The 24,900-nt window shown below is 40.5% G+C and overlaps 2 long non-coding RNA genes across 4 annotated transcripts; one reads left to right on the forward strand and one right to left on the reverse strand.

The window, feature by feature from the left end:
• On the reverse strand, positions 1–24,900 carry LOC124903210 (uncharacterized). The gene is made up of 2 exons (XR_007063870.1): positions 23,961–24,900; positions 1–10,100 (listed from the first exon to the last, which is right to left on the reverse strand). It is a non-coding gene; the product is annotated as an uncharacterized LOC124903210 (long non-coding RNA).
• On the forward strand, positions 8,194–16,494 carry LOC101927627 (uncharacterized). 3 transcript variants are annotated; one of them, XR_007063868.1, is made up of 5 exons: positions 8,207–8,270; positions 9,017–9,081; positions 12,253–12,291; positions 14,895–15,003; positions 16,436–16,494. It is a non-coding gene; the product is annotated as an uncharacterized LOC101927627 (long non-coding RNA). The 3 variants fall into 3 exon arrangements; XR_007063867.1 differs by lacking the exon at positions 9,017–9,081 and having other exon boundaries at positions 8,194–8,270; XR_007063869.1 differs by lacking the exons at positions 9,017–9,081; positions 16,436–16,494 and adding an exon at positions 15,760–15,840 and having other exon boundaries at positions 8,194–8,270.

The raw sequence follows: 24,900 nt of genomic DNA on the forward strand, positions 1-24,900 counted from the left end.
TTCTTGTTGATTCCATTTTTAATAATAAATCACAGTAATATACACAAAGGCCATTTATACACACGTACATAGTGTATCAGTCTAATACAGAATCATTTTCTTTCATTGTTCCAGAGCAGTTCTGAAACAGGCTTTTCCCAGTTCATAGCCCACATGCAGGGTCACCATCAATGCTTCCCAGGATTTGGGAGATGCTGGTTTTCTTCTGAAGATTTCTCATTTTTTTTCTGAACACCCTTTCTGGTAGTCCCTGATTGGGCCTGGGGCAAGGGTTCCAATGAACATCAAAGCAATTTCAAGACCTTCTTAGTAAATATACGTTATCATCAATACCAATGAGCTCTTACTTACAGGAGTATGTTCTTGTTTAAGGATGGAGTAAGTACCTACACAGAAGGCATATAAGAAGAAAGCAAGGAAGAACAGAACAACTTGAAAGAACAAAAAGGAGATGCAGAAGGTGTTTGGGGGTTGGGAGGGGTCAACTGGAAGATTAAATAAATATTCTAGCTGGGCGTGGTGGCTCACGTCTGTAATCCCAGCACTTTGGGAGGCCGAGGCAGGCAGATCACCTGAGGTTGGGAGCTGGAGACCAGCCTGGCCAGCATGGTGAAACCCCATCTCTACTAAAAATACAGAAATTAGCTGGGTGTGGTGGCAGGCGCCTGTAATCTCAGCTACTCAGGAGGCTGAGGCAGGAGAATCGCTTGAACCTGGGAGGCAGAGGTTGCAGTGAGCCAAGATCGCACCATTGCACTGCAGCCTAAGCAACAAGAGAAAAACTCCATCTTAAAAATATAAATAAATAAATAAAATAAATAAATATTCTGCTACTGTAGATGAAGGAGTGGTTGTTAAGATGAGCCACTGGCTTTCACATTATGCCTTCTCTCCTTTTTTAAATGTTCCTATGTCTACACATTAACAGCCAATTTGTATTTTAGTGCATTCAATTTAATCTCCCAACATGAACATCAATCATCAATATGCTACACCTCACTCTATAACCAAATCAACCGGGGTAAAAAAAAAAAAGTCAATTTACTGCCAATAATATAAGGATCAGAGTCATGGTTAAAACTCAAGATCTGCAAATAAGGGCTGTGACCACTACCTAAAGGACATTCTTTATGCACCTGTACGACATTAGGGCTGTCAGGTGCCTCACCTGACAGGTACAGCCACACCTGTACCCAGGAATTAATCCGTGTCCAAGGTATCATTTTTCAGTGCCAGAATTAGTTCGTCTATAAGACTGAATGTGTGATGCCTACAGATCTCTCTTACCAGAATAGTACTTTTGTCATTGATACGTGAAGTATAAATACAAATGTGTGGCGTGGCTGGCATTGGTTTATTGATTTTGGATGGTTCTAGCTCCTTCGGAGGTCATTTCCTGAGTAATCCCATCTGGAAAATGTAATTTGCCATTCACTAGTCACCACAGTTTGGATTGCTGTAATGACCTACTTGGGATGAAAGAAAAGGTCTTTCCATTTCTATTCAATACCTGGATTCCTTTCAACAATAATAGATACACAGCTTTATTACCCTTTCCCAACTGGCCAGCATCGGAGGTGACAAACACCCCAGCTGTCAGTGGTACAGACAAGATTCTCTCCTTCCCCAGATGAGCTAGCTCTTATAAGCCTAAAGCCATGTCCTCCCCTGGCTCTTAGGTCTGTCTTGGGAGATGGCCATCAATGTGTCCTTCTAAAAATACAGAATTACTAACAGTTTGGTTTTGTGTCATTGATCCATGGAGAAAGCGATGGAAATTATAGGTTAGTATTTACATGAATAAAATATTTTGAAATAACCTGAATAGTATGCTTTCCCCTGTCACATTCTTAGAGAAGTTAATAAAGACTCATGAAGATATTGCAACAATTGAAAGCAGACTTGGGGTTTGTTTTCAATAGCAAAAGATAGGTAGATGAAAATTGGAATTTACAACTCAAGCAGTATTTCTGAGCCTTAGCATGTGATGAGAGTATGCCACACTGAATTGCTTAGAAGAGGCGTAAGGGGAAGAAGAGAGGGCTAACCACTGAAACATGAGAGGTTTGTTGTTGTTGTTGTTTGTGTGCATGTGTTTTGAAAAATAAATCTAAAGACTAAAAGCCAACATTTGAGGAGGTCTCCATTTGTTTAGAAGCATTACCAGTTTCTGCAATGAGAACACATGCATAATTTATGGAAGTGCCGGAATGTCCAAATGTTTCTAACTGTCCCTTATAGCTGACTTTCTTAATGTACAGGATCTGACCTGGAATTTGTACCAAACATAATCTCATACCGGAACAGACCACACATGTACCAAAAAAAAAACTAACTAAACATAAATATTCACTCTAGGCTCACCTACGAACTGAGCACAGGTAGATTGATGTTAATTTGTTCATTTTGTTTATTATACCTAATTAGACTGCTTAATTTTCCTGTAAGCTAAATCAGAATCTGTGTTTTATTTAGGCCAACCTGTCACCTGCTAATCACTTGGCGACATAAATTCAGACACACATAGCTTTGATTTTGAAAAAGAATCTGGGAAACTTCATGACATTTCAGAAGAGAAAAGCTTTCTTGATTTCTTTGTATAGCCAAGAATAATTTTAAAAGTTTGCAAGCCACAGAATTCTAGGAGTATATTTTATATTATCAGAAACTGATCTTCACATCATAGTTCATTAAACTGGTTGCATAGTTTACACACAGGTAAGCCATCTCACCTCAAGACTGGAAAAATATCTGCACTAAAAGTAGAAGAAATAGAAAACTGTGAACACATGAGTGCCTCTTGAGTTAAGAATGCCAAAATGTTGACATAAACATTCCAAAGCAGATAGAATCTCTACTGCTCTATCCTTTCTGAAACCACTTTTTCTCCCAACGCTCTTTTCAAACGCCCCTCCCCACATAAGCTCCCCACTCTAGGGGGTAACAGTCATTCTAGGGCTTCAGTAATCCCTGATAGCCACAGAGAGAATCTGCGTATTTCATCCACACTAACTCCTTCCTTCTCTTTCCGAAGAATAATGAACAAAGCATGGTTTCCCCTTGGATTGAAATGTGCCCTGTACATACAAGCTGTGAGTCCTCGGGCAGGATGCAGAATCTTTCTCAGCCTCAGTTTCCTTTTCTATACAACAAAGATGATATCTGCCTCATAGGGTGATGGTGGTGACAAAGCTAGGTAGGATCTGCTCAAGTCCTAACACATCCCGGGGGCTCTCTCCCGGCCCCTTTCCCAGCTATTTCCCCTCCTCCCAGCCTCACCCGGCTCCAGGCACATCCCGGCAGCTCTGCCGTCTTCCAGTTCATAACTGTTCCTCAGCGTGCATCCTCTTTCCTCTATTTTCATTTCTCTTCTTAATCATTCTTTTTTATTCTTCCTAGGCTCTTTTAAGTAAACCTTTAAGGCTGAAGTATAACATAAATGCAGAAAAGATCACAAATTGCAAGTGCCCAGAGAATTTTGGGGAACATACATCTGTGCAACCTGAATTCAGCTCAAGAAGTCAATCACTGCCAGCACCCCAGAAGCCTCCCTTGCATACAGAGCCCACGCACCCAGAGCAAATCTCCATTCTGATTTATTTCACTGTAGATTAATTTTGCCTGGACTATATGACACCTACTCTTTAGAGACTAGCTTTATTCATTCACCATCATATTTGTGAAAGTCTCCCTTTCTGTTTGCTAATTTTACTGCTGCATAGCAGGGGTTAGCAAGCGCTTTCTTAAAGAGCCATGTAGTATGTATTTTGCCTTTCAGGCCGAAAAAGTCTCTCTGGCAGTATAGCACAAAAAGCAGCCACAGACAATACATAAGGAAATGAATCTTGCTGTGCCCTAATACAAATGCATTTATGGACACTGAAATTTGACTTTTATATAACCTTCACATGGCATAAAATCTCCTACTTTCAAAAATTTTACATCTAAAATGTAAGAACCTTTTTTAGTTTGCAGGCTCTAAGAAGCAGGCGATGGGCCAGATTCGACCTACAGGATGGAGTTTGCAGACTCATGCTGTGTAGTATTCTTTTGCACGAATATACCATCGTTCATTTATACATTCTACTCTTCGCAAATGTTTTCTTTCAAGTTTTGATCCAAAAAAAGATTTCTATTAAAGCTGATATATAAAAGCAGTGGCGGTAATAATCCCACATCTAAAAGAAAATGAAAGCCATTAATTTTTAAGGAAAATTGGATATTTAAGGGGAAAATTTCTTAGTCAACATCTAATATTTTTAAAGATACATGTATTAATAAATCTCCTTTGGAAAATCCACAAAATTGCCTATCATTTCATTTTCCCCATAATAAAATCGGCTTAATCTTCTTTATCTCAAGTATGAGTATTTCCCTCAAAAGTAGAGGAGGCAACGCTCTAATTCATTTTTGTTTCAACTTTGAGCATTGCAAAACCTTGTTCTCTTTCATGTGGCCATTGCATCAGTGTGGATTTTCAAATGTTTTACTAGCACAATGGGCTTGGATAGAGTGATTTGGGGTCTTATCACCCTCTAGTTTTAATAGTGTCTATTACACAGGCAATTTAAAAATTTAGGATTGCCTATAAAGATAGTTCATTTAACTTTTTTTTTTTTTTTTTTAAAAAGCTACTTCCCCTTAAACTCCAATAACTGATAAGGAGATAAGACAGGATATCGTGGAGGAAAGAATGTCTATGCAAACACAATCCTGGCACTGTGAGGCATGCTGCTGGTCTTGACAAACATTGCTCTAATCAGGGGCATATCACAAACACTTCTGAAACTTTAGAAAAGGATGCAAGGTGCTGTGTGATGAGGTGCCAAGTGAGTCTAAGAGACGACCTGCACTCAAGATTCCACAGGTGGGAGACGTCGGCACAGGAGAGTATGGGACGGAATGGACTGATGAGGGTCAGGGAGAAGGCTAGAACTGAGCTCGGCTTTTGAGAATGGACACAGGGGAGGAGCCTTGTGGATGAAAGGTCATCTTGAACAGAGGAAGTAATGTGAGCCAAAGAACAGGGTGCGGGAACAAAGCAAAGTGGACTTCCTTGTCAGAGGAAAACCCCATGGTGAGACCTAGGTAGAAACTGAAGGCAGACTGCAGTCAGAGTTTGGTAGGTGAGGAAGACTGAAGAGTAAAGGATTGGTAACAGCAACATTTTTAGGAATGATTGACCCCAAAACCATACTAAGATGAAAAAATAAAAATAAATTAAAAACTGAAGGCAAATCTGTCAGTCCCAAAGCCAAGAAAATAAATATCCCATGTGAAGTGATAAGATATGACAGCTATGAAAATAGAAATACACAGATGTGAGAAATATGGCAGTTCATGGAGAGGAGGAATCAAATATTCAACTCCATGTTGTTAAACGTGTATGAGTTGGAAAGTGTTGCTGTCATTGCCAGAAATAGGGAAATCTGGGGCGGGAGCTAATTTTAGTAGAAAAGGGAGTTTGGTTTTAACTGTATTAAACTTAAGCATGAATCCACAATGGTTCCACCCTGGATCACAGCTTTGATTTTTCCAAAGGAAATGTTATAGTCTAAGGCAAGGGAAGGCAAACTACAGCCCACAGGCCAATCCTGCTGACTGAATGTTTTTATAAACAAAGTTTTATTGGAACACACCTTGCCCCTTCATGAACATGTGGCCTCTGGCTGCTTTTTCACTTCAACAGCAGCATTGAGTGTTTGTGAGAGAGATCATTATAGCCCACAAGACTAAAATATTTACTATCTGGCCCTTTACAGAAAAAGGCTGCAGATCTTTAGTTAAAGTTATAGAGGGCTGAAATCAGCAGGAAAGATTTGAGGTTTTTGAAGAAAGTCCTCAGACAAGACAAGACTTCCTGAGATGAAGTGTGTGGGATACCACAGAGCAGAGGACCGAGCGGTCCTACCACGGCCAGCGTTTCACAAAATGGGAGAAATCCTGGGATGAAACAGCTCAACCTGATATGCTGCAGGCATCTACCATCATGCAAGAAGAGAAAAGAACCCGAGGTCAAGAGAAGGCCTTACCAATGTGTGTCCTGGGAGGACTATTTCCAGAGGGTGATATTCAGACTGTATACAGGTCCTCTCTCCTCCACACAGGATTCCTGGAGAATTCCGAGGCTGGAAACAAGGGCCAGTGGCCTCTCATAGGTGTGTTAGTGCTTGGTGAAGTTGTACAAATGTCAAAGAGAAGAGTCAGAGGGTAGCTTTAGGTGATATTTTGCTAGAGACACATGAGATGGGAGTGTGTGTCTGAAGAAAGGGTTATCTCCGCGGGCTGTGAACGGATCAAGGAGGCAGCAAACACAGCATTAGGATACAACTCTGGAAAATACCCCAGTGTCACTTCCTTTCCTAATCAGTTTACCTAAAAAGTCCTCTTCTCCCCTCCTCCACCTTTCCCCGAGTGCCACTTAGCCTTCAGGCTCAGCTTGCCTACATTTCTGCAAGAAGGGTTTCTCTGTCCCCAGGTGAGGTTAAGGCCTTTCTAGCATAATAATAACTAACACTTAGAGACTACTTACTGTGTCTGGACCTGTTCTGGGAATTTCGCATGAATTCACTTAGTCAAGCCTTCCAATAATGCTGTGAAATGTTTACCGATAGTATGTCCTTTCAACAGATGGGCAAACTGAGGCACAGAGAAGTTAGGTGATTGATCCATAGTCACAGATTTAGGAAGGAGTACAGCCAAGTTTCAAAAGGCCACATCCAAAACTCTCTGCATTTGTCTTTAGTATTTGTATAATGTTTGTCTTTGCTGCTAGACCCTAACCCCCATGAGAGTAAAGACTGCATCAGCTCTAGTCCTCATTGATCCCTGAGCACCTAGAACATTGCCTGGCACAAAGCAGATGCTCAGTGTAATGCAGAAAGATGTGTAGAGTGAATTGACAACACCTTGACATACTTAGGTAAGGAAAATCAAATCAAACAACAACAACAAAAAACCTGTGGACCCATATGTCTATTGTCCAATACCCAATGCATAATTCATAATGCGAATTTGAGACTATAATTTAGGGTAATAAATGCAATCCTACAAAGTACTTTGAGCTTTGGCCTGGTGGGATTTATGACTAGAAAATGGTGGCAGAAGGGTTTGCACTGTTAAGTGGAAGCAGGTTTCCCAAGTGTCATGAATTGAATTGTGTCCCCCCAAAAGTGATGCTGAAACCTTAAAACTCCCAGCACCTGTGAATGTGACCTAACTGGAAACAGTATCTTTGCAGATGTAATCAGGTTAAGAAGAGGGCATTAGAATGAGTCTGAACCCAAAAGGACTGGTGTCCTTATAGGTAGAAGAGTTGGAGATGATAGAGAAGGGCAATAGCATGGGAGGGCAGAGGCAGAATTGGGGAGCTGCAGCTGCAAGCCCAGGGAGGGAGGAGGCAGGGAAGGACTCTAATCAGTCTCAGAGGGGCATGGCCCCCTTGGCACTCTGATTTGAGGCTCCTGGCCCCCAGAACCCAGTTCATGGTACATATGGCAGCCCTAGGAGACACAAGCACCGAGGGAGAGGATGGAGCTGTGCTTTTGGAAAACTTGCAAGCTGGAGGGTTGAGCAAGTTCGTCAGATCTCGGTGAAGATGGATGGTTATATTAACTTGGAAGAGAGTGCATCACAAATCACTCACTGGAAGAAGGAAAAGGGAAAAGTTTGATGCCGTGATCCTGGTTTACCTGTAAACCACACAGAGGCAAGATGGAGGAATGACTGGAGACCAACTCTCCACCTGCGAGGCTGAATCCAGAGTATTTGGCCAGTTATTAGCTCATCATGCTGACCATTTATCTCCCAGGTTTTGGAAAAAGCATTGATGTTGACTGCTAGTTGACAAAGGGGAAGAAATAGGTTCTTCAGGTGGCAGCAATCAAGAAAACAAAGGCTTCCCAAAGTCACACATGCAACCGGGCACTATCAGGGCTGTCAGAGTTTCCAAGGACAGGGAGAGGGAGGCAGATCCCATGAAATGAGGCTGGACAGGAAGTCCTCCCAACGAGGTTATCAGGCAAATCAAGAAGAGTGGGAAGTGCCCGAAGACAGGAGGCTGCCTGCCAGCGACTCCACGGGCTCAGGCTGTTTGTAGTTCATGTGCATAATTTTTAAAGATAGACATAAGACATACCCCTGAAGATGAGTACAAGAGAGAAAGACAGGGCTCTGAAAATACTGCCATAGGCTCAAGTTCCAAAGTGCTGGAGTTACAAAAGTATAAAGGACAACGCAAAGGACTTTTTAGCCAAAGAAGAACCAGAAAGGTAAAACAGAAAGCAGGAAAGAGTGTGGGCTCTGGGGCTGGCTGTATCTGTGTTTGAATCTTGGCTTTGTCCTTTACTTCCTGGTGAACTTGGGTGGCTTTTGAGCCTGCATACACCTTGACTTGAGTGTGGCTTTCATTTGTAAAATGTTGATGATCCGTGGGCCTACCTCAGAGGTTTGACGTGAATGAAATATATTTGGTGGAGTGCGTGGACTGTAGCGAGAATTCATCACATATTTGCTCTTATCACGATTATTAACTAGAATAATTAAGACCATAGTGTAAGAGCATTTAAGGAAGGGAAGCATACATTTAAAAAGTAAGCTACAAAATAGTATAACAGTGTGATTACACACACACACACACCCACTTTAAAAAGAAATACACCAAAATGGTAATTTTAAAACACTTGGCTGGTAGGTAAAAATAAACTGGAACACAATCAGAGGAGAACAATCATATCTCCTGAGGAGCAGCTGAAAATGGGTCTATTTTCCATGGAGAGAAGTGGACACGGAGGAATTTTAAGGGGTTATTCTGGTTTTGTAGGATTGCAGCGGCTACATCTAGAATCAACGGGTGGAAGTTATATGGCATAAATCTCAGATCAGTGAGGTCAGTATCATTTGATGCTTATCTGAGCTTTCAGAAGGAGGAATACTTTATCAAATGAGTTCTTTATGCCCTGGGCCCTGCACTGAATGAGTTACATGCATTCTCTTATTTAAACGTTCTCTCCAACAGGAAGAGTCCTAGGGAATTGGAGACGTCGCGAAGGAATGTTGTAAGGAGAATTCAAGCCTAAAACGGTGATAAATCACAGTATCTGCAATATCTTTTTGAAACTCATGGGCTTTGGCCTCCATGTTCTAGCCTTGGCAGGACAGAAGGGTGGTAAGAGCAGTATCTGGTAGGGGGTCAAGAGTCTGGCTCATGGTGGAGGCCAAGCAGAAGAGTGACCTCATGGGGACCGCGCCTGGGTTTGTGTGCCCACTGGAGAGCTCGTTCCTATTGCAGGGCCATAATGTAAAGCAGAGGGTGCTTCTTTTCAGAAAGCTCACCTATAGCTCCTTCAGGCCTGTACTCTTAGGAGGGAAAAAGGAAGGGAGTACAGGTTCTGGAATTTAAAGAAACAAAAAGGATTATTCTGAAACATAAAGACTTTAGAGGACATGTGGGTTCATATTTTATGTCTTTTTATTTCTTTATTCCCTTTGCTTTCCAGGCTTCAACCATATATCTGGCCCTCACGTCCAAAAGCTCGAGTTGATATGTTTTGTTGCTGTTTGTTTCTTATTGTCCACAGAACTTGAGGCATGGGCCACAGTACTGGGGATAAGGAAGGTGTAGGGAGTAACAGCCAGAGTAGTTCCTTCTCTCCTTTTCCCAATGGCAAGGCTGAGAAACCATTTATCAAGCATTTTTATTGACTGGGACAGCTTGAAAGCACTGTCATTACCTGGGCCCATTTCTCTTCCATTTTCCTGGTAATTTCTGTAGTCACTGAGGAAGCCCACATTCTGGTTGGTCCACGGATTTCCTTATTGCAATCATTTATTTGCCTGCACTATAGGCTTAATTCTCCTTCCTCTTTTGTACCAAGAGAGGTGCTAAAAATCCTATCAATATCACAATTGACTCCTAAGCTGAAGAAGAAAGTTATTTTCTTATGTGACGTGTAAAGTGATCCTCAATATAATCCCTGAAGTTGAACTTCAGAAATGTTTCGTGCTGCAGCAAAATTGGGGGGAAACATTGGCAAAATCTTCCAAGAACACATAGGTCTTGGGATGGCCACATGCATTTGGCTATCTACATTCCTGCACATCTGTGGAGAGAAAAAAAGTTTCTTTTTTAAAATACGGAGTCATACGTTTATTCTTAGGCTACTCCAAAGATGCAACAAGGTGTTTTGTTTTTATTTTTTCAAAATGGGTTTGACAGTCTTTCTGCCTACTGATTGTCACAGCTAATTGCTCCTTCATTCGCATGAGAAGAGAAAATAGAAGAGAGGGAACGTGATGGCCCTTTACAGCAGCTTCTAGGAATGAATGTGTATAAAATAATCTACTGAATGGAGCACAGAATGAAAGCAACACATAAGAATTCAAAGGGTACATTTTAATGATGGGTGCATATATATTACCAACTTGGGGGAGAAGACATGGCACCTGCTACTCTGCCTTCACTCAAAGTGTTAAATGAAAACCTCTCAAAAATTAAAAACCAGCTGTCTTATGACTGACATTTAATTTTGAAAGATGTGATTTTCCTCCGTATTTCCTGTGCTCTTTACAAACCTGTTTATCAAATGTATAGAAGACTTTTGTTTATGACAGTTTATGATTAATCATTCACCAAGGACACGAGTCCTTTGTACCTATTATTGTCAAGCATTTGTTTGGACTGTGTTTGACCCTTTGTACCGAAGTGGTCTGTGTTGGAACCTTTTGAAAACAATCTACCAGGCTGAATGTGCTCATGCCACTTACTGAAATATCATGGCTCTGTTGCTGTGACATCCTGTTACATGGGAGAGACCAAAATTACAATTTTAGTGACAATATCAAATCTATTGTTACGCCAGGATAAATAGATTCATACCCAGTTAGTTGTAAGTATTCTAGAGTGAAATTTTAAAAAACATTTTAAGAAATGTATGACTGTCTGGTGACCAGAGTTACATGAATAGTATGCCTCCTTGAAAAAAAAAAAAAAAACGGAAAAAAAAAACAAGAGCAATCTAGCGTCAGATCTATATTCTGCTTTATGGGACAATCAAAGTCCTTCCCAAACACACCTCAAGGGAGTATATCCATATATCTGATTACTTAGTGACCAGAGAATCTCAGCTACCAAAACAACAGCACAGGTCAAAAGGAAGAACAGTATGAGTTACTGCTCCTTGTTTAATCATTCACTATTTGGACACCTCTTAGATGAGTAACTGCTTCAATTTTAATCTCTTCTCATTCACTCATTCAGTCAACAGACATTTATTGTAAGGTTGCTATGTGTGAAGTACCTTGAAAATATCAATCTGGGTGGTCGATGACCTCCAAGAATTCATAATCTAGCACTGGGCACAAACATGCCCACATTTAACTTCAAAACAAAGTTGTAAATGCACATGCCACATGTCTGATACAGATAATAAATGTTAGGAGTTCAGAGCAAGGATAGATACTTAATAGTGTTCAGAAGCCATTGTACAGAAATAAGTGGATTTGAGATTAAGGAATGGCTAGTAAGATTTTCAGGGAAAGAAAATGCCAAGAAGAGGAAAGGGAGGCAGTAACATCAGATGGTCAAGAATTAATTTAGAGAGGTTGGCTAGACAGAAGAGTTCATGAACAGGATTAGTTGGAGATTGGATTGAGAATGAAGTTGAAGGTCTCTGATTTTATTTTGAGGTATGATGAGCTATCAAAGGATGGAAAGGGCATGCTACGTTATGAAGCAAAACTAGAATACCTGTTTAAACTCAAGAAGGATTAACAGACAGTATAATACCATCATTCTCAGCAAAGTAACACAAGAGAAAATCAAACACCACATGTTCTCACTCATAAGTGGGAGCTGAACAATGAGAACACATGGACACAGGGAGGGGAACATCACACACTGGGGCCTGTCATGGGGTGGGGGGAGTGGGGAGGGATAGCATTAGGAGAAATACCTAATGTAAATGATGAGTTGATGGGTGCAGCAAGCCAACATGGCACATGTATACCTATGTAATAAACCTGCATGTTGTGCACATGTACCCTACAATTTAAAGTCTAATAATATATAAATAAAACAATGTGATATTGACCAATATTGTAACATTTTTATACTTGAACTTAAGAATTTCCCTATGAGAAATCTGATGTTCTTTTTATCTGACCTTAGAGTGTGCAAATCCATGTAAATAAATCGAGAAATTCTCAAAACCTTTAAAAGTCAATTAATCTGACCTGCCATTTCTACCCTCTCAGGTTCTGAGCACTGATTTCATCAAGCCGATGGAGGCAACAGTAAGTATGAATCCAGTCTCTGTGTGTTGGTTATTTCAGAAAAAGTCCAACGATAATGACCTTCATGTTCTTTAAATAAGCAAATTGTCAGATGCAAATAACTATCACCCAAATCAATACAATGAAATAAGTGAAGCCTGGCGATTTTTGCATTTTGCCAAAATACATTCAAAAATGGACAGTGACCCCAAATGACATTTGACATTCCTTTGACAAAGGAATCTCAATCAATAAAGAATATGATAATATTCAGTAACGGCATTCCACTCAGTTCTCTTTACCCTCTGCAAACAATAGACATTCCCAAAGTGTTATCCTATTGGGAAAAATATACACAGGCACACACACACACACAGAGGCACACACATGTACATAGGTACATATATATAGAATATTGGTTTAATGGAGCTTATGAGAGAAAACCAATCATTATAGACTGATGAAAAGCCCTGTGCTGCCTCAATACTTCTTTATTCCTATAAAGGTATTTTACAGTCACATGAGGTAAATAAGAACTAGGTTTCACTCCAAAATAATTACTTTTCAGGAAGCGTTGTCCTCATTTTTGGTTCAGAGGACTATTACATGGTGTCATGTCTTATTAGAAGTTCTTAACATCACTCATTATAGACTTAGGTAACAAAAGAATCCTTTGGGATGCATTCTGTACTTAAACCAAACCACAAATATTTTTAGATATTTTATTTGTTAAGAATGCTTCAAAATTTCAATGCTTATATTGGAAATGAAGGAAGAAGCGAACCTTAGAACTAGGGATGGGGACAGCTCTGAAATCCAAGTTTATATACTCCGCATTGATCCATTTATATATATATAACTTCAGACATTCGTTCATGAAACATATATCAAGCATCAGCTGCATTCCAGAATGGGTTGTCCTTTAAAATTGTCTTAACTCAGAGTAAAAGGATTTTTTTTATTGCTGGTTGAAGGTGCTCCTCAAAAAGGCACAGCTTTGAGATAATGCATTTAATCCTCCCTTAACTATCACATAGTCTATGCCCAAGAAAATACAAAGACAAATAAGAAATGTTCCCTCAGATAACTTGCTCAGCTGGATCTCATATCCAAACCAGAATCTCGTATTATGTAACTCCATAAGCTTCTGTATTTATCATCATTGGAATGTGTTTAAATAAGACCATCTGTGAAAGTATTGCAAAAACATATCTATTATCATTCTGATTCATTTATGGATGATTTTCTTCAGATGTTTGCAAACATAAAGTTTCAACACGTGAAAAAAATCACTTCTTATTACTTGGTTGTCTTTGTTTATCTTAAAAATTGGTTTTATTTCATCTGAAGGCCAAACACATCCCAAAACAACTAGTTAGATAGTGATCATTTACAGAAATTAATCAGGACAAAGGCTTGAACTATCTAAAAGAGCTCAACAAGATTTTTATAGCAATTTATTGAAATATAATTCACCTATCATAAAATGCATTCTTTAAAGGGTATAATTCAGTGATTTTTAGTTTATTCACAGAACTGTAAAACCACTGACACTATCTTTCATCATCCCAAAATAAGGCATATTAGCAGTCCCTCCTCACTTTCCCCAAGGCTTCCCCAAAGCTCTTGGCCTCCACCACTCAACTTTCTGTGTCTACGGATTTACCTATTATGGGCATTTCCTATAAATAGAATTATACAATATGTGGCCCATTAGTACTGCTTCTTTCACTTGGCACAGTGTTTCAAGGTTCATCTGTGTTAGGGCATGGATCAGAACCTCATTCTTTCTATAAAATGTCAAATAATATTCCATTGTGCAGACATACCACATTTTGTTTATTCACCCATCTGTTGAGCATTTGGATTATTTCCAATTTAGCTATTCTGAAAAAAGCTGATAAGAATATTTGTGTACAAGTTTTTGTGCAGATGTAAGTTTTCAATTTTCTTGAGTCTATACCTAGGAGTAGAATTACTGGGTCATATGTTAACTCTATGCTTGACATTTTGAGGGACTGTCAAACTGTTTTCCAACGTGGCTGCCCTAGTTTACATTCCCACCAGCAAAGTATGAGGGTTCAAATTTCCCCACATCCTCACCAACACTTGTTTCAGAAAGATTTCTATACAGGCATGTGAATAAAGTATCTTAATTTCTAAGAATAGAATAAATTCATTTCAAAGAAAATAATAAAAGCACACTATACCAATGTTATTTATGGGGAGATTAAAATAGTATCATTTTTCATCCTGACAGTTTCTCAAATCCCCGCACCAGGATTCTAGGAAGAGAATCTCTTGCAGCCATTGTATATTCTCCCTGTGGCAGAGTAATTCTTAAACTTTCCCTGGTGCAGGAAGGAGCGTCATTGGGGGGTCTTCAGTGAACACCTCTCCTGCAGATAAAGAATATGTTGTCCAAGCTGTGAGCAATCAAGTGGCATGTGTTCCTTAGGGCTGCAAGGCTGAAGAGTTTTTATTTGGTTCCCATCTCATAGAAGTTATTTATGTATCCTAACTGGAATTTTGACTCTTGCTATGATTACTATGTACCTTTTACCAAGCCTATGCTCAGTCATTTGACAAATTTTATAGTGTAAATGACCAAATATTTCTCTCAGACATATTCCTTAGGGAAAATTAAGATGCACAGTATGCTTCAAGATGATGGCCAAGAACAACCAACTCAACGAGCCTTCAGGAATTCATGATTTGAATATCATGTTCAAGGTAGACACCTTTTTAAAGTTAGGACAATTATTAATGATTCACAAATACTTGAAATTCTATCAAAAGTCTATGATATGATAATTTACAGTATGCTTTGGGGAAAGAATTCAGCCTTACTCATTCTAGAGCTAGCAGAAGTGAACAACTATAGAATGTAATAACTTTAGAAACAAGTATGTGTGTGAATGCGTGTTGCATCTTAAGAGTTTAGGTTGAGTCCTAGGTAAGTTATGTTGGCATGTATTCACTACACACTGCTATTTGAAGCTGTTAAATCACATGCACATACTCATGTTATTGGACTGCACCATCCATAATTCTTATTCCCAACAAACTGCTGTCATGAAGTGCTTAGTAGGTCCTGGTGTGGTTAGTCCCTCAAAATGTACTCTGGGTATTGAGTCGATGTCATGAAAGGTTGCTGATGGATTTTATTTGTTGGATAGAATAAGAGGCAAATAGAAGGAGGTTTTATTCTATCTCCAGAGACCTCTAGTGTCTTCTGCTTTTAACATGAGGATGTTGTTGCTATTCTCTGCTTCCAAGATCTTTGCAGTACATGGCCAAGATCTTTACGGTACTGGCCAAGATCTTTACAGTAGATGCAATGAAACTGGCAATGCACTTTCTTACTTGCTAAGGGTACTGTAGATCACCACTCTGTCTGGTTGTGAGATCACAACAATAATAACCACATTGCCTCAAGTACACTGTTAAAACTTGGGGAATGCTTAGACATGGCTTCAACTTGTCCAGGCTGCCTTCTAGATAAAGATCAAACCAAGAAAGTCCATGTGTCACTGCTCCGTGAAGGCTCCGGGTGGAACTCCCTGCCCCACTCCACCTTTAAGATTTCCAGCACAGTGTCTTCACCTCCTTCAGCGCCCCTGTTTACATGTCCATCTCTCTCTTTAGAAGGTAAGCTGCAGAGGAAGTATCAGGTCTCGATCATCTTTATATCCCGACGGCTTACCGTGCAATAAGTAAATGATAAATGTGTAACTGTGGAGCACCGTAATCCCCTAAATTCCTTGCAAAAGAAAAATTCTGTTTACACTTTCACTGCAATGCATCATAAACTTTGTTAGCTTTTATGCAGATGATGATAGTATGCCCTTCATAAGGTTAGAGGGATAAATTGTGTGTGTGTGTGTGTAAACTGCCTGGCACTTAACGAATATTAATAATTGCTTTTAGTTCAATAAAATAATCTATGTAGATTAATGATGGTTCTACTAAATTTGTCAAATGGGGTTCCCTAGTATTACATAGAAAGTGTTAAAAATTCAAACATATTTACCTTGCACATAAGCTCAAATGATTTTAAGCTGAAGTTAGCTTATAAAAATAAATTATTAATTTAGTTAGTAATCAAAGTCCAAACAAATCCGTAATCATGAAGACTCTAATCATTTGTTTTTGTTCTTCCTAGCTACAGACATCAGCAAACTCGAGAAAAGAAGGTTTGCTCTGGGAGATTCTACATGTGACCTGTTTATATGTAATTATATTATCTATTACTCAAGTATTTGTCTTGTGCTGTCTAAATTATAAGCTTCTCAACTGTTTGCCTTGAGTGAGATGTGCACGCTAAAGCCTCTCAATAAATATTAATTGAATGAATAATTGAAAAAAACCCTGACTGCCTTTTTACTTAAATCCAAGCCTTTGCTAAGTTTTAACTTTCTTGATCCTACAATCACTTACAATTTACAAAGGAAAAAGTATAATAAGTGGTGAATCACTTTTCATTTTAAATTCCACTTTACATTTTGTTCCTAGCACAAACATTGCAGATTTTATAAGATTTATGTATTTAACTTTCAACTAAATCTAGAAAACCATCTTAGAAAATCGCTGAGTTTCCCTTTTGAGGACTCTCTAATTCTGTCTGTTCATTTAACCTGGTTTGATTTGAATCATGCATTCTTCCCTCTGCCTGACTCAGGTGACCAGTGGTTATGGATGGGGAAGTAGATGACGCTCCATTCTGGGGAGATTCAGCTTAGTGCCGATTTTTTTTTTTTAAAGATCTAGTTCAAAAGTAGTCAGTAGAAAAATGGGTGCATTCTTACTTTTCATTCCTAAACTACTAACATTCATGATTGAACTCTGATTCATGATGTAGCATAAGACTTAAATCACAGTTGGGGCTACAAAGAGAGAAAACAGAGGATTGGCCAGGGCAAAGCCACACATTGGCTTCTGCCACCAAGGGGCACCTCATGGGCAAAATCCACACTTATGAACTCTACTCAAGGGCCATTTTCTCCTTGATAGAATCTCTGTTTCTCTATCTGGTTATAATGATGTTGTGAGCACAGATCAAGACCTCCTCTTACATAAGAACAAATCTACATGTGGAGGGGTCTTATTTAAAAAATGAATTCAAAACTTCAAAAGTGAATATATTTCTCTAGCCAATTTTATATTTGATAAGAGTAGTAGTCAAATTTGGCATAATGAGAACATTTATGATGTGGGAAAATCTCAAAACAAGTGTGTTTTATTTTCTTTTCAAATTGAAGAAAACCTAGGAAAAGGCGGCTAGTTGCTGAATCGCACGAATGAAGAGAGAATAGAGATTTTCTTTTGGAGACAGAGGAAGAGAAGTGATTTTTTTATTTGCATACTTTGAAAACTTGAAGGCGGAAGTGGTTTTCTTGCTAGTAGCAGGTCCAGGCCCAAAGTAAACGATTCTAATGAAATAGTACAGGGTTGTGGATAAACGACATGTTTCATGGGTGAAGCATTTAGGAAAACAGCTTAATGTATCATTTTGCTATAGGTTCTCTGGCAGCCGACAGCCCTCCCCGTCTCCATCCCTGCACCATCCCCGCACACTATTTATGTATTTTCATTTGCATGAACCTACTCTAAGGTTTTGCCCGGTTGATTTTTCAAGTTAATGATAGGGCACTTGGGGAAAGATTAATGTCAGGAATGCAGAGGTTCAGCAAATTGTTGAAGAGTTTCACCATACAATTAATCTCTCTTTCCCATATTACAAAAGTGCAAGAGATGGATGCAGGGAAGTGGTAATGATGCTGCTATCACAGGTCTCTAAGAGCCGGGGGAGTCAGCTATAAAGATGATGGGAAGACGGCTTTCTGCTCTCAGAAGGATTTATAAATCATTCCCTGTTCCCTGTGCCATCCATCCTTGCCAAGTGATTGTGGCACCCCTTTGCTGTTTCCCATTCAGCTGTCATTGACTGGGTGAGAGTCCTCTAAGGAGCACTATGGAGAGCAGGGACACCATCTCAGTTAAGATGACTGCCAAGCCCCCAGTCCATGGATGCCCCTAATATCGACTCTTTATTTCCAGCTTTCTCATCATTCAGCTGCTAACAATTCGATTTCTGCAATGTGTTCTGTGAATTAAGTACCTCTGCCCTCCAAGGCAGTATTTTGTCAGAGACAAGGGTGATATTCACAATAGTTAACTGGTATGGCCCAGAAACGGATCTATGAGAAAGGACAGTTTCCAGCTAAATCCTTCTTAATCCCTTAGTTACTGGGTCTTCAGGTTCTGGGCTGCCTACAGAGGAAGAGGGATGCTGAGACCGTGGAAGTTGGGAGAGCTCCAAGTACTCGGGGCCATGCTAAAAGTGCTTCAATACTGCATCAGCCTTGCAGGTAGCAAAATCTGTTGTTGGTCCTCTCCGCTTCTCTTTTCCAGCCTCTCAACTGAGCATATCCAGCTCCAGGCCTCAAGGCATCTCAGTGAAATGTTAACCCAGACACATCCCCTCTCTCAGAATAGGCTTGACAGAGACTGGTCACTGCGTCCTCCCTCCCCCAGCCCAGGGACTTGGCGGTCGCTTGCTCACTGGGTCCCCTGAACAAGGAAGGCAATGTTCCCTCAATTCACAGAACCTTTCTATTCCCAGCCGTGCCCAGCCAGCATCCTCACTGCTTCAGATGTGCCATGGGCTGTGGGCTGGCAGCTTGAAAACGTGCCTTGGGATTATCAAGCCCAAATATGAGCGTTGCTTTTTGAAAGGAGAACAACAATATTTTTTTCCCTCTAACTCCAGATACATAGTAATTCTAGAAGAAAAGTGTAATATTCAGAGGCCAAGCCACCTTGTTCTCAGGATGGGCAGGAGCTGAGTGGGGCTGAGTCCCTGGGGAAGCTATTGCCACACCAGCCCTCTCAAGAGGAGCAGATCACAGCTAACAGGGCAGAAGAAGCAGAGGACCTAGACCCCCAGAAGTGGGGAGGGGTCTTGGGAGAAGGAACTTAATGATAGCTGGAGCTCCCTCTTAAAAATGGGGCTTCACGCTCTTTATGACATGTAGATAGATCTGTTATAAACATTTGGCCAGTGGCCTTCAAGCACAATTTTTGAACAGTACATCTCATCTCATATGAATTTGAGGACTGCCTCTGTCACTAAGGGTGGACCTTCAAGATTCTGAGCAGCTATCAAACTTGATTTCTTTAAATCGTTTTGTCATCCCATCTGAGATTTTGGTGAGACAAGTATCTGACTCTTAGTCTTTTTGTGCTGCTACAACAACACACCAGAGGCTGGCAATTTATGAGTAATAAAAATCTATTTATCACAGTTCTGGAGGCCAGGAAATCTGAGATCAAGGCACCAGCAGGTTTGTGGCTGGTGAGGACTCACTTCTGCCTCCAAGATGGCGCCGTGAACTCTGTGTCCCAACATGGCCAAAAGGATGCAAGGGCAATGATGGTCCCAAGCTAGCTCCCTCCAGTCCTCATGACTTAATCACTTCCCCAAAAGGCCCCATTTCCTAATACCACCATTCTGGGGATTAAGTTTCAATGTGAATTTTGGTGGGGACACCATCATTCAAACCATAGTAGACTCGAACAAACAAAACTTGCAGACTCCTGCTGGACTGTGACTAGTTCAGCATGTTAATGGTCTCATTTATAACTTCATATTATGTGTGAGGATCTCAGTTCTGGGATGAAATCCCACTGTGAACTCTCCCACCATGCCAGGACCCCAGTGAGCTGGCAGCCCCTCCCAGTGCCTCCCCACCAGACCACCCAGCTCTGCACAGGTGGGCTGCCTGACACGGTGTGTGGCATCAGTCAATGTGTGTGTTTATATCTGTGCCTGCATGTTTAAATCTCAGGCTTGAGAGCCTGGAGGATCCCTAGGAGGGCCTTTCGCTCCATTCCTCTACCTGCACAGCCCAGAAAGAAATCTACTTTGACAATTCAAAAGCCTCTTTGTTGATGCAAGGAAGAAAAAGACGTAACTTCTCTTACTTTACCCTCTCCTCATCTTTGTGGTTGAGAGGTGATTCATTCATCATTCCACCCTTGGGGTGCAGAGCGTGCCTTACGCAGAGGCCTTGGCCACACCCCAGTCAAAGAAGAGAGGGTCAGACACAGTGTAGCTATGGCCATTATCTTGTCCATAAAAGTACTCCTGTTAGACTCTCAGGGTGGAAGTATCTTTAGTGCCTTTTTGTTTTTATTTGCTGCCAAGGCTATACGTAAATATTGTCATGGTGGTGTGGTCAGAAGCCCCAACTCCACCCGTCCCATGTCTCACAGCTATATAGACTTGGAAGCTGGAAAGCTTTCGACCGATCCTCACAGCAACCCAGAGGATTGGCATTAGCATCCTACAGATGTGGCGCCAAGGTCCCAGACAAGTGGGCACATTGTTTTCAACTGTACAGCTTGTGAGCTACCTTTCTCTTGGTTCCCATGACAACATACGTGGCAAGGAAAAGTGAGAAACTACAGTTGACCCTTCAACAACACGTGTTTGAACTGTGCGGGTTCACTCATATGTGAATTTTCTTCCGTGAATGTCACCCCTGAAACAGCAAGACCTCTTCCCACTCTTCAGCCTGCTCCCCATGAATAAGATGAGAATGGAGACCTTTATGATGACCCACTTCCACTTAATAAATAGTAGATATATTTTCTCTTCCTTATGGTTTTCGTAGTAACATTTTTTTCTCTAGGTTACTTTATTGTAAGAATACAGTGTACAATACATGTAAATACAAATATGTGTAAATCAAATCTTTATGCTATCGGTATGGCTTCTGGTGAACAGTAGGCTGCTGCTCACAGTTTTGGGTGAGTCAAAACTTATACTTAGATTTTCTACTGTGTGGAGGTCAGTGCCCCTAACCCCTGCATTGTTCCAAGATTAACTGCACTGTCAATTACAAAAACGCAGTCCTGTCACTTTTGGCCTCTAACACGCACTCAATGTTTAGGGTGCTAAGTATGTCTTTCTAAGCAGTGTAAAAAGATGAAGGGCCTTTCCATTAACCCATGTGCCAGGAATCTCAGTTTCTTCTTCCTCAGCCACACTTCCTGCTGAAGTATAGCTCTGGCCTTAACAGTCCTGGAGAAAGGGCCCTCCCCTATAAGGCTGCCCATCAATGCCTGCTGCTAGCCACAGCTGATTGCATCCTGATCCAAGTGGAGCAAATCAGATTTTTTACCACAAATTTGGTGTTAAAATACAGAGGCTGAGGCCATGAGAGCTATGAAGTCAGAGATAATCAATCCTCATTGTTGGTGGATTCCTTATCTGCCAATCCTCCTACTCACTGAATTTGCTTGGAGCCCCAAAATCAAAACCCTTGGTGCTTTCTTGACCATATGAGGGTGGGCACAGAGCAACAAAACATTTAGCCACTGGCTGCTCATGATCTCACCTGAGGTCAAACAGAGCAACACCCTGGCTTCTTGTTTGATTGGTCATACTATATAAATAAGTGTCTTTTGCTTTTGCAGTTCATTTCATACCACATTTTTTTGCATTTTTGTGCTTTTTGTTGGTTATTTTGCTGTTTAGAATGGCTCCCAAGTGTAGTAATGAAGAACTGTCTAATGTTCCTGCATTGGGGAAGGCTGTGATGTGGCTGATGGAGAATGGATGTGAGTTAGAGGAGCTTGGTTCAAGCGTGAGTGACAGCCCTGCTGGCCGTGAGCTCAGTGTTTATGAATCAGCGAATACATAATAAATATGGTGTCGTGAAACAGAAACACACATAAAGCAAGTTTATTACTTACCAGTTAATGAAAAAATCTTGTGACTGGAGGTTCACAGGAAGATACCCTTCTATTTTTCCTGGAAGCAGTTATTTAGTATTCACTAATTTAGCATTCATGGCAACTTTATAGAGGATAACTAGTGTGAAGAATGAGAATCAACTATAAACTGGTCAAGCCAGGTAGAAGCAAGGAATCCTGATGCGCAGAGAGGGCTAGGGTCTAGATGTTTACATTCACAGATGGCTGGAGGTGAGAGCCTTGGAGGCAGGGGAGCCACGGCATGGACAGAAACTTCCTGATCACCTTCCTGTTCACACGCTGCCCCACTGGGCTTCCTGCAGCAGTTCCTGTGAGATTCCACATCCAATGTCACATGCGCATGGACTCCAGCATGCATGGCTGCTTCTGTGCTCCTTGCATGTACATTTCTGTAGACTGGAACCACCCCCAACGTTACCAGTAAACACCTCCTAAGATCTCTAATTTCAACTATAATAAAATGCAAATATCTATCAGAAATAACAGTTATTCTCATCCTTAGCACTAATAAAATGGAAGAGAAATTAAACAGATAAAGTTTAGATCCTGATCAATGATGCAATCACCTTTTTCCTATCCTCTTGAATTTCCAGTTACCTTGAATTTCTTTGGAATAACTTCTACTTTTTCTTTTTTGTAAAACAAAAAGTCGGGGTTGGGGGGGCGGGGGTTAAAAAGCATTTAAAGTTTCTCTATAGCCTTCTGCCAAAGAACTATCTTCTCTCTTTCATGCTTGATCTTAGTGAAAGAACTGACCAAGTTGACCTTTCTCAGGTAGGGCATGTTGATTCGAAGAGTCAAAGGTCACCTGACATCAGAGCTAATCGATAGCCTTTTGATTCTGTGGTTTTGTAAGAAATATAAACTTACTCAGCTTTGCAAAGCTATTTTCATTTTTTTGCTCTTCAGGATAATTTGTGCCTAGTGCTAAAGATCAAAGTAAAGCAGAAAAAGTCCAGAAAATCTAACATGCTTCCTTATTTATTTACCTGCTTTAATTTAAAAAGCAATAATTACTACAATTTATAGAACAACCACACCATGCCAACTACTTCATGTACATTGTTGATAATGCACTTGACAATCTTGCAAGATTGTTGTCATGAACACTGATTTAGTCGGAAGAGAACAGGTTTCACACAAATTAGATGAGTGGACGAACGTCACATAGAGGCAAAGCTGGGATTAAAACACATATCTGTTTAACTTCAGAGTCACAGTGTTTTCACCTGACTGTGTTCATTCATGGAGAAGAGAAATCAAGAACGTGCAGGGGCGTCATTTCCACAAACCGAAACAGCAGAAATGGACGTGTCACACAGGCCCCCACCAATGGTTCCCAACCCTACCTTGTAGACTGGCACAGAAAACAGCACACTGGTCTGCCCATTCTCAATGACATTCGTCATCCCAATGACATGGATGTCTTCACCCTAATAGCCAGAGGGCCAAATCCTAATCCTTGGACACCATCAGGCTGTGGCTGGCCTGACCTGAGCCCAGTCCCAAAAGGCGTCTGTGTCACCCACGAGCTCTCCCCTCTCTGGAAGATAATTTCATTTCCATAAAGCAATTGCTTTTATGGACATGAAAGGAGGAATCTGAAACTTCCAGTTTTACAATCTCTAACTTGTAGTTGGCTGAATTGTAGTAAATAGGGGCAAATCTTCTTGTTTTTAAGAATAAATATGTTATACATTATACACACTCAAAAGCACATGGTTCAAATTATGTGCAAAGTACATGCAGTAGAGCACATGCAGCTGGAAATATTTGACCCCACAGTGAATTTAGCATATTTGGTTCAGAGCACTTCCATTACAAATATATAAAGTGTTTATGTAACCCATTGATTGCTCTTATGGCACCAATAAAACCCAACAAATGGCAGAATTTTTTATACATACTAGCTGATGTCCATGCATCACATCTTTATCCATGGTATCTCTTCAGCCCAGTGCTTTTGGAAGTTCTTCTCTGCCTTCAGTTTCATGAATTGCGTGTGTGTTTTGTGATCAGTGTGAAAATGAGAAAAATTAAATATCATTCTCCTAGGGAAAAAATCAAATGACAGTAAATATATACATGTAAGTTCTAGCTATAAACCTACACTGTGGTTTTGTCAAATTTGACTTGCAACTACAGACAGTCAGGCACATGTAAAAATGGTTCTTACAAAGCAATGTGACTAGGTACCCTTACTCACTTCTGCCATCAAATAGACATCAGGTCCAGAGCCTCCTCTGCTCTGTCTTCAGAAACTGTCAACACCTGTACTCTTCATAAGACTTGAGCTGGGTAGGCAAGCCACGTGCTTCCTGCACTCAGATTCCTTTGTCAACAGAATCTTAGGGACTTCCTCAGGGTCCCCAGATAGTCACTTCACTCTCTCCTTCATCTTTCAACAAAATACAATGTCATAAAGCAATTGTGCCAAGAGTTTTCTAGAATTGCTCTGACTGAAATTTGAGCTTTAGTCTCTAAACTTGATATTGCAAAACCTCCTTTACTGATACAGCTCAACCCTCTATTCTTAACTGTCCACACCAATTTCTACTGCCCTTAGGCAATAAAGAGCTGTTTTACATGAAAAGTACTCAAAGTTCCTACCGTGAAGACAGCAACTGCCATGGGCCCGTACTGCTTACCACCTCCCATTCAAGCTGGAAAAGATTGTGGCCACTTTTTCCCCCCAACTCTTTTATATTTTTATTTCTAGAATGGCCATTTTTAAAAAACTTTTATTTTAGACTCAGGGCTACACGTCAAAGTTTGTCATATAGATAAACTTGTGTCTTGGGGACTTGTTACACAGATTATTTTGTCCCCCTGGTACAAAACCTAGTA

Source organism: Homo sapiens, chromosome 13, assembly GCF_000001405.40.
Source record: "Homo sapiens chromosome 13, GRCh38.p14 Primary Assembly".
Taxonomy (NCBI): domain Eukaryota; kingdom Metazoa; phylum Chordata; class Mammalia; order Primates; family Hominidae; genus Homo; species Homo sapiens.